Source organism: Homo sapiens, chromosome 2 (genome assembly GCF_000001405.40).
Source record: "Homo sapiens chromosome 2, GRCh38.p14 Primary Assembly".
Lineage (NCBI taxonomy): Eukaryota > Metazoa > Chordata > Mammalia > Primates > Hominidae > Homo > Homo sapiens.
In genome coordinates, this window is record NC_000002.12 from 203,480,331 (window position 1) to 203,496,311 (window position 15,981).

Consider the following 15,981-nt stretch of genomic DNA (forward strand, 5'->3'; position numbering starts at 1 on the left):
TTGAGGTCAGGAGCTCGAGACCAGCCTGGCCAACAGGGCAAAACGCCGTCTCTAAAAAATTATAAAGACAGGCCGGGTGTGGTGGTGCGCGCCTATAGTCACAGCTACTAGGGAGGCTGAGACACGAGAATTGCGTGAACCCAGGAGGTGGAGGCTGCAGTGAGCTGAGATTGCACCACTGCACTCCAGCCTAGGCAAAAGAGCAAGACCCTGTCTCAAAAAATAAATAATAAAAAATAAAAAAAGTAAAAACCATTTATCTGAACACAGGAGCCAAACCATTATAAAGAAATGGCCTTGTACCAAAGTAGTGGTTACAAATAAAACACTTCCTTGTGATAGCTAACACTTTAGATTACAACTGGAAAGAAGTGGAGGCTTATGACCACTCATTAGTGTTTCAATAAAATAGATTTCCATCATCTTTACTGACACACGTATGCATTTTCCACAAATAGTATGTTGAAAATAAGTATAGCATGATGGTTAAGAATGGAGACCCTGGTGCTAGAGTGCCTGGGTTCAAGCCCCAGCGTGGCCATTTATTGGCAAGGTGATTCTGGGCCTATCATTTAATCTGTTTCCTCACATGTAAAATCGGGGTACTCACAGCATTGATCTTCAAAGGTTGGTATAAAAATTATGAACGATTAATATTACTACGAAGAGTGGGAACCTGCCAGCCCTCATCTTAATTTTATTTAAGCTTTATTTAGTTTAGAGCTAGAGTTTACCTTAATTTTCCTTAAAATATTTTTAAAAAATACAAAAACACCACAAGATGGGGATGCTATTACATACATCTCTTTGCCTTTTTCTCTCCTGCCCATGTAGTTAGTTCTGTATCTAGGTCCGGCTCTGAGAGCACTGGCCAGTCTACTTGTCTTGATTTTCCTTCAGTTCTGTGATGAAGTAGCATGATATGGTGGTATGAGCTCTACAACCAGTATGTTTGGGTTCAAACCCTTGGGCAAGTTATTTAGTCACTCTCTACCTCCGTTCCTTCCATTGTAAAAGAGGGATAACCATGCCCTCCACAAGGTGTTGGGCTCTGCACAATGTGTGTTAAGACATAAAGCACAATGGCTAACAGAACAAGCACTCAATTTTTCTATTTTGCCCCCTTTTCTCTTTATTCTACTCTCCTTCTACTGGATATTATATAGCCGGTAAATCTGTAAATGTTTTTAAAACTATTTCTTTTTGTTTTATAGCCCCTATTCATTTTAAATAGATGAATATATATATATATATATATATATATACACATTTTTTTTTTGAGATGGAGGCTCGCTCTGTCACCCAGGATGGAGTACAGTGGCATGATCTTGGCTCACTGCAACCTCCACCTCCTAGATTCAAGTGATTCTCCTGCCTCAGCCTCCCGAGTAGCTGGAATTGCAGGTGTCTGCCACCACGCCAGGATAATTTTTTTTTTTTTTTGTATTTTTAGTAGAGACGGGGTTTCACCATGTTGGCCAGGCTGGTCTCGAACTTCTGACTTCAAACGATCCGCCCACCTCGGCCTCCCAAAGTATTAGGATTACGGGCGTGAGCCACTGCACCAGGCCACATGAATATATTTCTATTATTGTCTAAAAAAAAGGTCCTTCACCAGCCCTCCACAAACCCAAAACAAAAACAGACCTAAACCTAAAGATGCTTTTTACTTCTGCAGAAAAAAAAAACACACACACACACAGATTTCCAAGAAACACCAACAATAAGAGTCAAGGCATATGTGCCAGTGATTATTGGGGGGGTTTATTTGAAATATGTTTGTGTGAATTAGGCTTTTCCCCTGGATTTCACTAAATCTTCAGCCTCTTTTTTCATCTGATACCTATTCCTTTATTTTATTTTATTTTACTTTTTGAAACGGAGTCTTGCTGTCGCCCAGGCTGGAGTACAGTGGCATCATCTCAGCTCACTGCAACCTCTGCCGCCCAGGTTCAAGTGATTCTCCTGCCTCAGCCTCCCAAGTAGCTGGGATTACAGGTGCCCGCCACCATGCCTGGCTAATTTATGTATTTTTAGTAGAGATGGGGTTTCACCATGTTAGCCAGGATGGTCTGATACTCATGACCTCAGGTGATCCGCCTGCCTTGGCCTCCCAAAGTGCCGGGATTACAGGCGTGAGTCACTGTGCCAACCTTACCTATTCCTTTAAATTTAGCAAAAGGTTTTGCTGAATCTTAAGAAAACTTGATGATTGTGTATATTATGATGAAAAAAATCCTTTGAATTTGCTATAAACTAATAGCTTTACAAAGTATTTTCATTTTAAAAATACACTGTCATGTATAAAATTCCAAATTCCAAATTAAATGGGCATGATATTGTATGCCTGAGGACCCAGCTACTCAGGAAACTGAGGCAGGAGGATCCACTGAACCCAGGGAGCAGAGGTTACAGTGAGCCAAGATGGCACCACTGCACTCCAGCCTGGGTGACAGAACGAGAATCTGTCTCAAAAAAAACAAAACAAAACAAAACAAAACAAAAAAAAGGTAATAATATGGCAGAGTAAGGGGAGCTCCATTTTTAAATAGCATAATCAAAGAACGCCTCAATAAGAAAGTGACATTTGAGCAAATTCCAGAAGGTAGCTAGGAGAATGTTACACAGAAGACTGGGGAAAGGCGTCTGGGCAGGGTTGAATAAGTGCAAAGGCTAAGAGGCAGGCTCTGGCTACTGGCTGAGAACAAGTATGGGACAGTATGGCTAGTGGGGTAAGGGACAGAAGGAAGAAAAATAGGTGGTAATGGGAAAGCAGATCAGGCAAGGCTTTATAGGCATTATAGGGGTTTGGGCTATACCATGAGATGCAAAGCCTTTAGGTTTGAAAAGAGATGATCTGACTTATCTTTCAAAAGGATCACTCTGGCTGCAGTGTGGATGATAGACTGTTAAGGGAGAAAGGTGAATGCAGAAAGACCAGAAGGAAGCCTATTCAAAAATCTAAATCAAGATGATATTGGCTTGGTGGCAGTGAAGGCGGTGAGAAGTGATCACATTCTAGACATATTCTGAAGATAAGGCCAACAGAATTTGCTGCTGGATTGAAAGGGAGGTAGAAAGAAAATAAGTAGATAAAGACTCCAAGGAGTTTGCTTGATGAACTAGACGGATGGAATATCCATTATTTGAGATAGAGAAGACAGTGGGAGAAATAAGTTTGAAGAGAAAGAGCAGGACTTTAGGTTTAGACCAGTTAAATTTGAGCAATCTATTTATGATGGTTAATTTTAGGTATCAACTTCATTGGATTAAGGAATACCTAGAGAACTGGTAAAGCATCTGGGTATGTCTGTGAGAGTGTTTCCAGAGGAGATGGTGTGTGAACCAGGACTGAGTGGGGAAGATCCATCCTCATTGTGGGTAGGCACTATCCAATTGACTGAGGGCCCCAGATAGAACAAAAAAGGCAGAGAAAAGGTGATTTCCTCCCTATCCTTCCTAGAGGTGGGACACTCTGCTCCTACTCTTGGATATCAGAACTCCAGGCTCTCCAGTCTTTGTACTGCAGGCCTTATACCAGCAGCCTCCCTTGGGTACCCAGGCCTTCAGCCTAGGACTGATAATTATACCATGGGCTTTCCTGGTTCCGAGGCTTTTTGACTTGGACTAAGTCACACTACCACCATCCTAGGGTCTCCAGCTTGCAGACAGCCTGTCACATGACTTCTCAGCCTTCATAATGGTGTGGGCTAATTTCCATAATAAATCCCCACTCATATCCTATTGGTTCTATCTCTCTGGAGAAATATAATACACAATTAGACATCCAAATAGAGATATTGATTAGAGATGGAATATATGCACCTGGAGTTCAGGAGAGAGGGACTGGCCAAAGATACCTATATTTCCTTAAATCTAAGAAGATTTGATGCTGGTACTTTCTTGATCTTTATTAGAAACTTTCAACAGAAGGACTTCATACAACGTACTATAACTGCCACCTTGCTGATCGTGACTAACAGGTGCCACACGATTTAAAATGTGGTTTCTCAACCTTGGCTCTATTTTGGGCCAGATAATTATCCTTCATGTGGGCTGTCCTGTGCACTGTAGGATGTTTAGCAGCACCTCTGGCCTCTACCCACTAGATGCCAGTAGTAGCACACGCCCTTGATGGACAACCAAAAATGTTGCATATACCCAGCAGGACAAAGTAGCCCAAGTTGTGAAGCATTGTTTTACAGGGATTAAAATGGGGGTGGGAAGATGTGGAAAAAAAGCATATGGCTGAGTGGTAACCAATTTAGCAAATCCAAGAGAAGCTGAATGCTGGGCCAGCACTGGAGAAAAGCAGAGGAGCACTCAATTTATATCGTGTAACCTCAGAAGTCCTCAGAAGCAAGAGTAGACAGGTGATGGTGCGACTAAAAGCAGGAAGAATGGTTGAAAACACATTTAAGAAAGCAGCTAATTCTCAGATTCCCTCTTTTACTCACTCACCCACCAGCAGTGGTCTCAGGTACAGATTAACATTCGCTGACAAGACCCAACAGACCATAGCTTGAAGCCAGATTCACTCAGTTCTGAATAAATAAAAAGAGACATGCCATCTTCTGAGGGAGTCCATACAGCTCACCACAGGCCCTTTTTGGGCCCATAAATAGCTCATTGTAAGGGAAAGAGACCACATGGTAAGTGCAGAAAACACCCTGGCTTAGGGAAACTTCATGCTCCATGGGAACCAGCAGTACCTTTTAACAGCCAATGAGGTTAAGTTCCAGGGCCCCTTAAAGAACACGTTCATGCTCATTTATAAGAGTTACACTGCTGGCCAGGTGCAGTGGCTCCCACAGTGTAATCCCAGCACTTTGGGAGGCCGAGGCAGGTGGATCACTTGAGGTCAGGAGTTCGAGACCAGCCTGGCCAACATGGCGAAACCCTGTCTCCACTAAAAAAAAGAAATACAAAAATTAGCCAGGCGTGGTGGCATGTGCTTGTAATCCCTGCTACTCGGGAGGCTGAGGCATGAGAACCATGTGAACCTGGGAGGCGGAGGTTGCAGTGAGCTGAGATTGCGCCACTGCATTACAGCCTGGACAACAGAGTGAGACTCTGTCTCAAAAAAAAAAAAAAAAAAAAGAGTTACACTGCACACCACGAAGTCAAGGTCTATGTCTTTTCATAGGCTAATTTATTCATTCATGGACAGTCTTCCTGGTCCATATACACTCACCAACAGGGGTCAGTTTCACAATAAACAATATTACCTGGAGATATTCTATATTTAATTCTTAATCCAGTATGTGTCCAGGAAAAGAATGCCAGGAGAAGGAAAACCCAAGGTCATTTTCCACGAAGAAAAGGACTCAGGCCTACTGTTAACCCTCTCTACCTAGAGCAGTGGTGATTCTCAATTGGGGGTGGATTTTGTCCTACAAGCAACATGTAACAATGTCTACGGACGTTTTTAGTTGTCACAACTGAAGAAGGTAAATGTGTACTACTGACATCTAGTGTGTACAGGCCAGGGATGCTGCTAAACATCCTACAGTGCATGGGACAGCCACTCACAAAACTATCTAGCCCAAATGTCAATAGTGCTGATAGCTGAGAAACCCTGACCTAGAAGGATTTGATGAAAGTTCATAGACTGGAACAATGGGGACCATCCTCATGTTCCAACCCTTCTTTCCCAAATGGGCTACTAAAACACTGGCAGCCAGCATAGAAGACTGGAAGAATCTTCTCCAGAGAAGCTCACCAGCCTAGGAAAAAAAACCTAAGGATAATCCTGAAGACTACAAAAAAAAAAAAAAGAAAGAAAAGAAATAAATAGAATTTTAAGAAGATGCAATTAATGGAACGCTAATTTGGCTTGAACCAGAGAGATTTAATCAACTGGGAGAAAGTCTGAAGTTGAAACAGTGATCACCATATAGAAAATTAAATATTTTTAAACATATATTCATTCCAGTAAAAGTAAAATGATATTCCAGAAAGGGGATGTAGTCACAAGAGTATATGGAGGTTAGCAGTAAATTTCAAGTATATAGTCATTTTAATATAAACACTGAATATGAGCTCAATCAAAATATATTTGGAGAATGGAAAAACAGGAAGGGAGAAGTGAGAAGAAGCTGTATATAGACAGCTATACCCTCCATCTTCTGGAGTAGAGTGAGAAGTCAATAGGTAATACATACCACTAAAAAGAAAATCAAGAAATGGCAATGTGTATGTAGACTTAATGATAAAGAGGTAAAGTCCCTAAGAATCAGCTAAATGAGCAAAAATTGCTTACCTCTGGAAGCAGAATATGATGTGTATGTGAGTAGAGGATAGTTTTCCGTAACATATCTCATAGAACTATTTAACGCCATGCATGAAAAACTAAAATATTTTTAAAACTGTATTTGCACTTAAAGACAATTTGATACATGAGTTCAGGATATATTAAGCTTGCCTCAGTTTACTTTATTTGAATCAGAACAGACTAGACCTAGGAAAAAAGCAAATGGAAGCAAGTTCCGGGTTTGTTAAACCACCTTTCTATACTCCTAGGTGAGGCAAAAGAACAGGCTAGCTAGATAAGGCTTTTTAACTCCTTTCCCTGCTATAGTCCTGGTTTACTCACCAAACCTTACATTAAACTCTTATATTAAACATTATACCATTGAGCACTGGTATCTTTGCAGTATTCACAGTGATACCCATGGATACCACTAGATACCATTTGAAGTGCGCTTGCTGGGAGAGAGGAACTTTTCACGTTTTACTTCAATTTGCCCCTATACTGTATGAACTTTTATAATGAGCACATTTTACAGACAGAAAGACATGCATACGGTATTAGAAGATCCTTAATGATTAGTTTATAACTTGTCCCTCACGCATCTTAATCCAACTCAAAATACTGTAAACTGATTGGAAGGAATATCAACATACAAAACAAAGAATGGCCAAGAAAGCACATCCCTAATAAAATATTGCTCATATCCTAGCAGGTAAATCTAAAGGACATGAAATGATACATATTAAGTAGCTGGTGGCTAAATATAATTCCCAGGTATCACAAAATAGAAATCAGTTTTTTTTTTCCTTTTTTTTTTGTAGACGGAGTCTTGCTGTTGCCAGGCTGGAGTGCAGTGGCACGATCTTGGCTCACTGCAACCTCCGACTCCCTGGTTCAAGCGATTCTCCTACCTCACCCTCCCGAGCAGCTGGGATTACAGGCATGCGCCACCACATCCAACTAATTTTTTTTTGTATTTTTAGTAGAGACAGGGTTTCACCATGTTGGCCAGGGTGGTCTCAAACTCCTGACCTCAGGTGATCCGCCCGCCTCGGCCTCCCAAAGTGTTGGGATTACAGGTGTGAGCCACCACGTCCGGCCTAGAAATCAGTTTTCAAGTTCTCTATAGAATATATACCACTTAGATAAGTTTCATTTTAAATAAATGAAAGTTTATTCTTCAGATTGATAAGATTCGCTTTCTTTGAAATAACTCAAGTTTATCTCCAAACCACCATGATTCATACTCCTTTTGTGCTCCACAGTACCAAAAACAAAGCTACGCACATGGGTGGGTACCAAGAGTTACCTACTGATGGAAATTAATCCAAAGAATTAAATAAGTTACGAAAAAAAAATCAATGATGTCAAGTAATAGTTAAAATTCAAGATTTTACTTTAGTACTGATTATTCATAAATAGATTCTTTTATCCCATATTAGAATATTGTCAACACAAGCTTATTGGAAAGGTTGACTTAACTTTGCCCCATTTTTCTTCTTTCTTGCTGCTACCCTATGACAGAATTACCATCTCTTTGATGAAAACAACTCAATAAAGAATTCTCTTTCACCAAACTCAGCTTTTGTTGAACTTGTTACCGCAAATCTATTCCCTATCTTATCCAGTCACATGCTGAAAAAAATTCCATCTTTTAAAAATCTGTTCATGAATAACTTACGGTTCTCTGAACCACCCTATCAGGAAGGCAGATATAGTATTACGAACTCTGGCTGGGCGCAGTGGCTCACACCTGTAACCCCAGCACTTTGGGAAGTGGGCGGATCACAAGGTCAGGAGTTTGAGACCAGCCTGGCCAGCATGGTGAAACCCCGTCTCTACCAAAAATACAAAAATTAGCCAGGCATGGTGGCACACGCCTGTAATCCCAGCTACTCAGGAGGCTGAGGCAGGAGAATCACTTAACCCGGGAGGCAAGGTTGCAGTGAGCCAAGATCATGCCACTGCACTCCAGCCTGGGCGACAGAATGAGACTCCGTCTATTAAAAAAAAAAAAAAAAAAAAAAAAAAAAAACCTGTTTATGAACAACTTTTGTTCTCTGAACCACCCTATCAGGAAGGCAGATATAGTACTATGAACTCCATTTTACTTGTGAGAAATTGATGTTTAAGAGAATAACTCACTTAAGGTCCCATGGGTAGTGAGTGGCAAGGAAAACTCAGAATCAAGTTTCCTGATTCCATACCTGGTGGCCCTTTCCAATATACCATACTGACTCTTCAATAATGAAATGGAGGGCCGGGCACAGTGGCTCACGCCTGTAATCCCAGTACTTTGGGAGGCCAAGGCGGTTGGATCACCTGAGGTCAGGAGTTCGAGACCAGCCTGGCCAACATGGTGAAATCCCATCTCTACTAAAAATATGAAAATTAGCTGGGCATGGTGGTGAGCGCCTGTAATCCCAGCTACACTTGGGAGTCTGAGGCAGGAGAATCACTTGAACCTGGGAGGTGGAGGTTGCAGCGAGCTGAGATCACGCCACTGCACTCCAGCCTGGGCATGAGTTGTACAAGAGTACAAACTCCATCTCAAAGAAAAAAAAAGGAGAAAAAAAAAAAGATAATGAAATGGAGTTAACCCTGTAAACTAGAATCTTGGAGGACCACAATGGTGATATGAGTGTTTTTCTTAAGTTTTACTTTAAATCAACATACATTAAATAACTAAATGGTTTTGTGAATCATTTTAATTTTTCAAATCACGTGAAATGACTCATATTACAATAAAAAATGCCATTCAAGAACTTCCAAATACTATAGTCACGAGAATAAAAAAGAAACTAAATTTCTTCTAAATCATCTTTGTGCCACTACCATATCTGATAATATATTCCTTCTGTACTCTTGAAACCTATCTCAGAAGTATCTTTGACAAATTATAAATGTAGAAGAATTTAAGAAGTTAATTAAAATTATTTTAATATAATTTCTCCTTTATTTTAATAACAAAATACCAGGGAAAAAGTTCCATTTATTTACCTCAGTAATTGGCTGCCCTTGATGTGTCAAATCCAGCTCTTGAGGGCGTGTTACTTTATCAATATCCAAAGAGTCCATGCTGGAGGCTGCGGAAGTGATGCTGGAATGGGAGGAATTACTAATAGAGTGTACTTCAGCATCACTCACTGTGCCTGCTGACGCGGTTCTTCTGTGCTGATTAGTTACTAAGGGTTTAGTATCTTCTAGTACAGATTGCTGAGCAGCCTCATCCATACTCAAAGAGGCCTGTTCTAACTGTGCAGTGACGTCGTCCAAGGAGTAGCTGGCATGGGAAGGTTTAGCTATCCTATTAGATGAAGAAGATAATCCTTTCAAGGTGCCATGTTTCAATGTATGTCGGCTAACAGGCAATTTCTGAGTAGCTTTCGTTTCTGTGATTTGACGCTTACTGTTTCCTGAACCAATGCTGCTGAGCTCCTGCTCTATAGAGCAAAGATCAGCCATCAAGGCATCCAGATCCACAGTCTCTCCCTGATTCAGAGCTTCTGCAATGAACAACACATAATGTTTCCAGAATTTATACATTCTATTATAAATCAGTTAATAAATGCAGGTGATGAAGCAAAAGAATATATTTTGTTGGGCCTAAAGCAAATAAAATTAAGTATTTCTGGTTTTTGTTTTAAATTCCAAGATAAATTTTTAGAAGTACACAGTCCTCCTCTTTTAAGGCTTGTAATAATCAGAGGAGAATAAATTATGAGTTCAAAGACAAAAACACTACAAAAATCTTATACTGTTCCATGGTTTTAACCACATTCCTCTGTGCAACTTTTTACCACAGGCTTCAATATATTGTTAATATGATCAATGCTTTGGTAGAGATGTCAATACTGAAAGAGCTGAGGGCATAAAAAGAGAAGTCAAAAGTCTAAAAAATTACAGACTGACAGGTCAATATTATAAACTTGACTAGGTGGAATACAACAGATAAAGGCCACAGTGGCTGCTTTAAAAATTACTAAGAAGTAACTTCACTGGACTTTAATCCGGTGAGAAAACAATGCAATTAAGTTTGCTGTGGGGTTCCACCTGGGTATGTACTTTGTCAATTATTAATAAAACCAACTATCTTTTAGTTATGTTCTAGTTTGCTTTTCTCTGTGATATTTTCAATTAGTAATATTAATAAAATACACAAATCAAGAAATTTAAGGGCTGGACGCAGTGGCTCACGACTGTAATCCCAGCACTTTGGGAGGCTGAGGCAGGTGGATCACCTGAGGTCAGGAGTTCGAGACCAGCCTGGCCAACGTGGTGAAACCCTATCTCTACTTAAAAAATACAAAATTAGCCAAGTGTGGTTGTGCATGCCTGTAATCCCAGCTACTCGGGAGGCTGGGGCAGGAGAATCGCTTGAACCTGGGAGGCAGAGGTTGCAGTGAGCCGAGACTGTGCCACTGAACTCCAGCCTGGGCGACAAAAGCGAAACTCTGTCTCAAAAAAAAAAAAAAAAGAAAAAAGAAAAGAAAAAAGAAATTTAAGAACTTGGTCGAGTTATGCATGTAGCTTTTATATCGAGTTTTTATATTGGGAATTGCAGTTGTACTGCTCCTACATTGTGTGACTTAGCATACTATTTTACATTTTATTTCCAATTACATCTTACCATTCAAGTTGTATATGGAGAAGCGGTAAGAAAAGTTGGCCATGTTTGTTTCCTGGCGAAGAGGAGATCTTTTTACTGGTTCCATGGGCTTGTCAGAATCCAAACTCTTTATAAAAAGAAAGTTTAATAGTCATATTAAATTCAGGTTTCAATAATATAAAAAAAGATGAAGTTTGTTTTATGATTAAGTGAACTGCCACACTATAATTAATTAAACCAAAGTTCTCCTAAGTAATAGACTTAAGGAAAAGTATAATTGTATTTGACATTATTATTTTGGTTATACTTATTTCAATCTTTAGATATATGCTTACTTTTTTTTTTGGAGATGAAGTCTCGTCCTGTCACCCAGGCTTAAGTGCCGTGCCACAAGCTTGGCTCACTGCAACCTCCGCCTCCCGGGTTCAAGGGATCCTCCCGAGTAGTTGGGACCATAGGCATGTGCCACCATGCCCGGCTAATTTTTGTATTTTTAGTAGAGACAGGGTGTCACCATGTTGGCCAGGCTGGTTGCAAACTTCTGGCCTCAAGTGATCTGCCCACCTCCATCTCCCTAAGTGTTGAGATTACAGGCGTGAGCCACCATATCTGGCCTATGCTTACTTTTAAAGGCACTTGAGATTGTCATAGTTCAGAGTAAATATCTTTTCAAATATATTAAGTATAGTGACTGACTTCATTTTATATACATGCACTATAAAATAAGTGAGGTAAGTGAATATGGACATGGTAAGCTAAGAAATAGGTGTGATGGCTCACTTTGTAATCCCAGCACTTTGGCAGGCAGAGGCAGGCGGATCAACTGAGGTCAGAAGTTCGAGACCAACTTGGCCAACGGGGCGAAACCCCATCTCTACTAAAAGTACAAAAATTAGCTGGGCACAGTGGCGGGCGCCTGTAATCCCAGCTACTTGGCAGGCTGAGGCAGGAGAATCGCTTAAGCCTGAGAGGCAGAGGTTGCAGTGAGCCGAGATCACGCCACTGCACTCCAGCCTGGGCGACAGAGCGAGACTCAATCTCAAAAAAAAAAAAAAAAGAAACCGCACAGAGAGTTCTGTTCTTTCTTTCCTCAAAGGGATTTGGTTTAGGTCCAGGAAAGCCTCGATCTTTGCTATATGAAGTACTCTGAAGATAACGGACAGTTCTGGATTTAAAATTATTAAGACCCAAGACTCACTAATTTTAATGGAAAGTGATTACAAGTTCAAACAATGATGAAATATTCTTGTCCTTCTCCAGTTCTATCAAAAGGAGGGCAAATTGCAACCCAGCTACACTGCCTGTGACAAATCTTGAATCATACTGTATACTTTGGGTAGGGTGACTTGTAAGTTACACTTGTAAGTTTAAATGATACTCTTCCTCTCTAACCTTTCTAGAGCAAGGAAAAAAGATATTTACAACAGAGAAATTCAGAGAAAGGGTCAGTAGTTATTGTTTAATAGATTCACAAAATATAAGGATTAGTGTTTTAAAACTTTAATTTATATCTACAGTAAGCACTGAACAAGCTTCAAATTTTAAAAGAATGCTGGATACTCTATGTGTTTATAATGCTATCTTTTTTTTTTTTTTTGAGACAAGGTCATGCTCTGTTGCCCAGACACGAACTCTTAACCTTTTTAAAGGGGTTGCTGAGAATTTTATAAAAGCTATGAACCCTCTTCCAGAAAAATGCACATACATAAAAAACTTTACAAACTATTTTAGAAGATTGACCAACTACCTAAAACTTAAACTTGTTTTAATTCTAAGTTGAAAATACCATACCACTGAGTACGTGATACAGGTGTACAGATAACACTGTAATGAACTAAAGTAATGAAATAAACAAGAAACTTGAGGTTTTAGCCACAAACTTTGTAAAGTCAAACATCTCTTGAAAATGTCCCAAGTGTTACAAAGCAACATATTAGCAGTGAGTCACACTATGCCACAGTTTTAATCTTTTTTTCTCTCTAAAGACAGATTTATATAATGAAAAGAACAGTCACGTCATTAGTGGCTCTTCACACTTTTATGTCAGGCAACTTAAAATACAGGGGAAAGTACAAGGTATCAAACCAGTAGAAACACCATTTTCAGGGCAGCATCATGTAGTTCCTAGTTCACCCAGAGCAGCTGGACCAATATCTACCTGCCTTTTCTCTTTTGGGCCCCTCCTCCCAAGCATGGACAATAAAACCACATGGTCAAGAACACCCCACATGTCAGCTGGCCCTTGCATACTTTTCTCCATGCATTATCATTTTCTATTTGCTCTTCTTTGCTTCCTCTCTCTCCCAGAGCAGGACTGCATAGCCTAGTGATAATCTCTATGCTTAAATCACCCTTTTTATAAATTAAGAATTAAAACAGAAAGAATTTGGCAGTTACAGACATAAGACATCTCTGACAAAAAATGTCACTTCTTCTGATTAGAGATGAAGGGAATGATACCTATGAAATCCTAGTAGGAGTTGAAAACATTCTCCCCTGGCCAGGTGTGGTGGCTCCCACCTGTAATCCCAGCAGTTTGAGAGGCCGAGGCAGGTGGATTACCTAGGTCAGGAGTTCAAGATCAGCTTGGCTAACATGGTGAAACTCTGTCTCTAATAAAAATACAAAACCAGCTGGGCATGGTGGCGCATGCCTGTAATCCCAGCTACCTGGGAGGCTGAGACAGGAGAATTGCTTGAACCCGGGAGGCGGTGGTTGCACTGAGCTGAGATCACACCACTGCACTCCAGCCTGGGCGACAGGAGTGAGACTCTATCTCAAAAAAAAAAAAAAAAAAAAAAAAAAAGAAAAAAGAAAAAAAAAAATCCCCCCAAAATACAGTATTAACAGATTATGGTCACAAAGATGTCTGCCTTTCAAAATGATCTAGCAAGAATTACACGAAGAGTTTATCACTTTGAATTCTAGATTGCTGCAGAAATAAGCTGCTAGTAATTTAAGCTTCCACCTTGCCCACTTTGCTTTTCCTTTAGTTAAGGAATCTCATACCTACGCAATTTTACACAAATGTTCTTTCCAAAGACATTATTTATGAGTAAATAAGTTTTGTTCTAATGTTCTCATTGCCATGAAGTTAAATTTATTTAATAAACATAACCATCTTCACACAGTGAATATAATGTATTACTGGGGCAATAATAACAGTACCCTTTTATTCTAAAAAGTGTGCTGGTTTAGAGGACAAGGTCACCTTCTTTAAAAACCCAAGATCGAATAAAGCAAAATGAAAAGATTTTGCCACTGTTTTAAAATGCAGCCCAGAATTAGGTTTTGTCAGTATTCTACAATCATGTCATAGAAAATATTTACATGGGGCCAGGCATGGTGGCTCACGCCTGTAATCCCAGCACTTTGGGAGGCTGAGGTGGGCAGATCACGAGGTCAGGAGATCGAGACCATCCTGGCTAACACAGTGAAACCCCGTCTCTACTAAAAAATACAAAAAATTAGCCGGGCGTGGTGGCGGGCGCCTGTAGTCCCAGCTACTCGGGAGGCTGAGGCAGGAGAATGGCGTGAACCCCGGAGACGGAGCTTGCGGTGAGCCAAGATTGCGCCACTGCACTCCAGCCTGGATGACAAGAGCAAGACTCCGTCTCAAAAAAAAAAAAAAGAAAAAAAAAAAGAAAAACAGAAAATATTTACGTGGAAGGAAATTATTTATGTTGAAAATGTATTCAAATTTACTAAGGTAACAGGGTTTTCTAAAATTTAGACTTTTGAATTTCAGGCTTTAAAAGTTTTTAGCTAATTATCTCATATTTATGAAACATATATTAAGTAACCCCTCTAGATGAACAGAGCCTCTCTCACAAGTATTTTTTTTAACATCCTTAAAATAACCATAGATTCTTAATATCTTCTGTTCTAGAATGACTTCATTTACTTGTCAATACTTCGAACATTTCTTCCTTTCTGGCAATACTTTAAAATTTAACTTATATCCATATCCTCTTCTGCACATTAAACTTTTAACACAATGGTGACTTCAAATCCTCAACCAGTTTTTCAAGCACTACTCACCTGAGTGAGTTTGTCTAGTTCTCCAAGCCAGGCTCCAAACATTTTGTCCAGGTCCTGATCTTCCTTGTCACTGTCTTCTTCAGCACCATGATCAATTTCTTCATCTGATAGCTGCTCCATCTGAAATACAGACATTTGTGTAGAATGAATAGTAAGTTACAGGTTTAACTTGAAAAATTATGCCATATATGCTCTGATATATATTATATGCCTCTGAAGTCAAATCTTCAAAACTAGAAATTACATTCTAAAAGAAAATCTTAAGTCATTAATGGAGACAGTGTTCACAAGTGAGTAGAAACAAAGAATAAAGTTTCAAATTTTTTAGGAAACTGTAAAAGAAAAGCCAACAGTATCAAATTATGACCAGAATCGCATTACTAAAAAAATTAACAGAGCACCCCTTTCAATCAGCAGAGGACATAACAGTAGTACAGTTCTCTCCACTACTAGATCCTAGGACACCCAAACACCACAAAGAAGCCATTTCAGAAGACTTTAATGGAGCAAATTATTGTCCTGTTTATTCTGTAAAAATCTGTTTAGATACCAATAGGTACCCTGCAAAACCTTAGTCCAACAAGTATTTAAGAGAAAATTTGACAAAACAAAAATCTTAATCTAGTTTTGTTTCTTTCTATTCTACCCTCCTACCCTCACTTTCTATCCCATTTGTCTTCTTTCTCTACCTTACTTCCTCATCAGTTCCAACAAAACCCAAAAAGGAAACAGAATTGAAAACTTCTAAATCCAGATCCAAATCCTGTTATGTGGTGACTTTTCAAATATAAGTCCCTTGAAAGAAGAAATTATCTTCCTTCTTCCCATTAATAAAATAGTGTGGCTGGGCGTGGTGGCTCACGCCTGTAATTCCAGCACTTTGGGAGGCCGAGGCGGGTGGATCAACCTGTGGTCAGGGGTTTGAAACCAGCCTGGCCAACATGGCAAAACCCCGTCTCTACTAAAAATACAAAATTGGCAGGGCGTGGTGGTGCATGTCTGTAATCCCAGCTACCTGGGAGGCTGAGCCAGGAGAATCACTTGACCCTGGGAGACAGAGGTTGCAGAGAGCCGAGAA

General features: G+C 39.9%; 1 protein-coding gene across 19 annotated transcripts in view; it reads right to left on the reverse strand.

Annotated features, from left to right (window-relative positions):
- Nucleotides 1-15,981, reverse strand: part of RAPH1 (Ras association (RalGDS/AF-6) and pleckstrin homology domains 1) — a 101,620-nt gene that overhangs the window by 46,649 nt on the left and 38,990 nt on the right. For all 19 annotated transcript variants that reach the window (NM_213589.3, NM_001439024.1, NM_001439027.1 and 16 more), the window contains 3 exons: nucleotides 14,904-15,023; nucleotides 10,884-10,989; nucleotides 9,254-9,759 (listed from right to left, as the gene is read on the reverse strand). In NM_213589.3, coding sequence (NP_998754.1) covers nucleotides 9,254-9,759; nucleotides 10,884-10,989; nucleotides 14,904-15,023 — 732 coding nt within the window. The remainder of the gene's footprint in view (nucleotides 1-9,253; nucleotides 9,760-10,883; nucleotides 10,990-14,903; nucleotides 15,024-15,981) is intronic.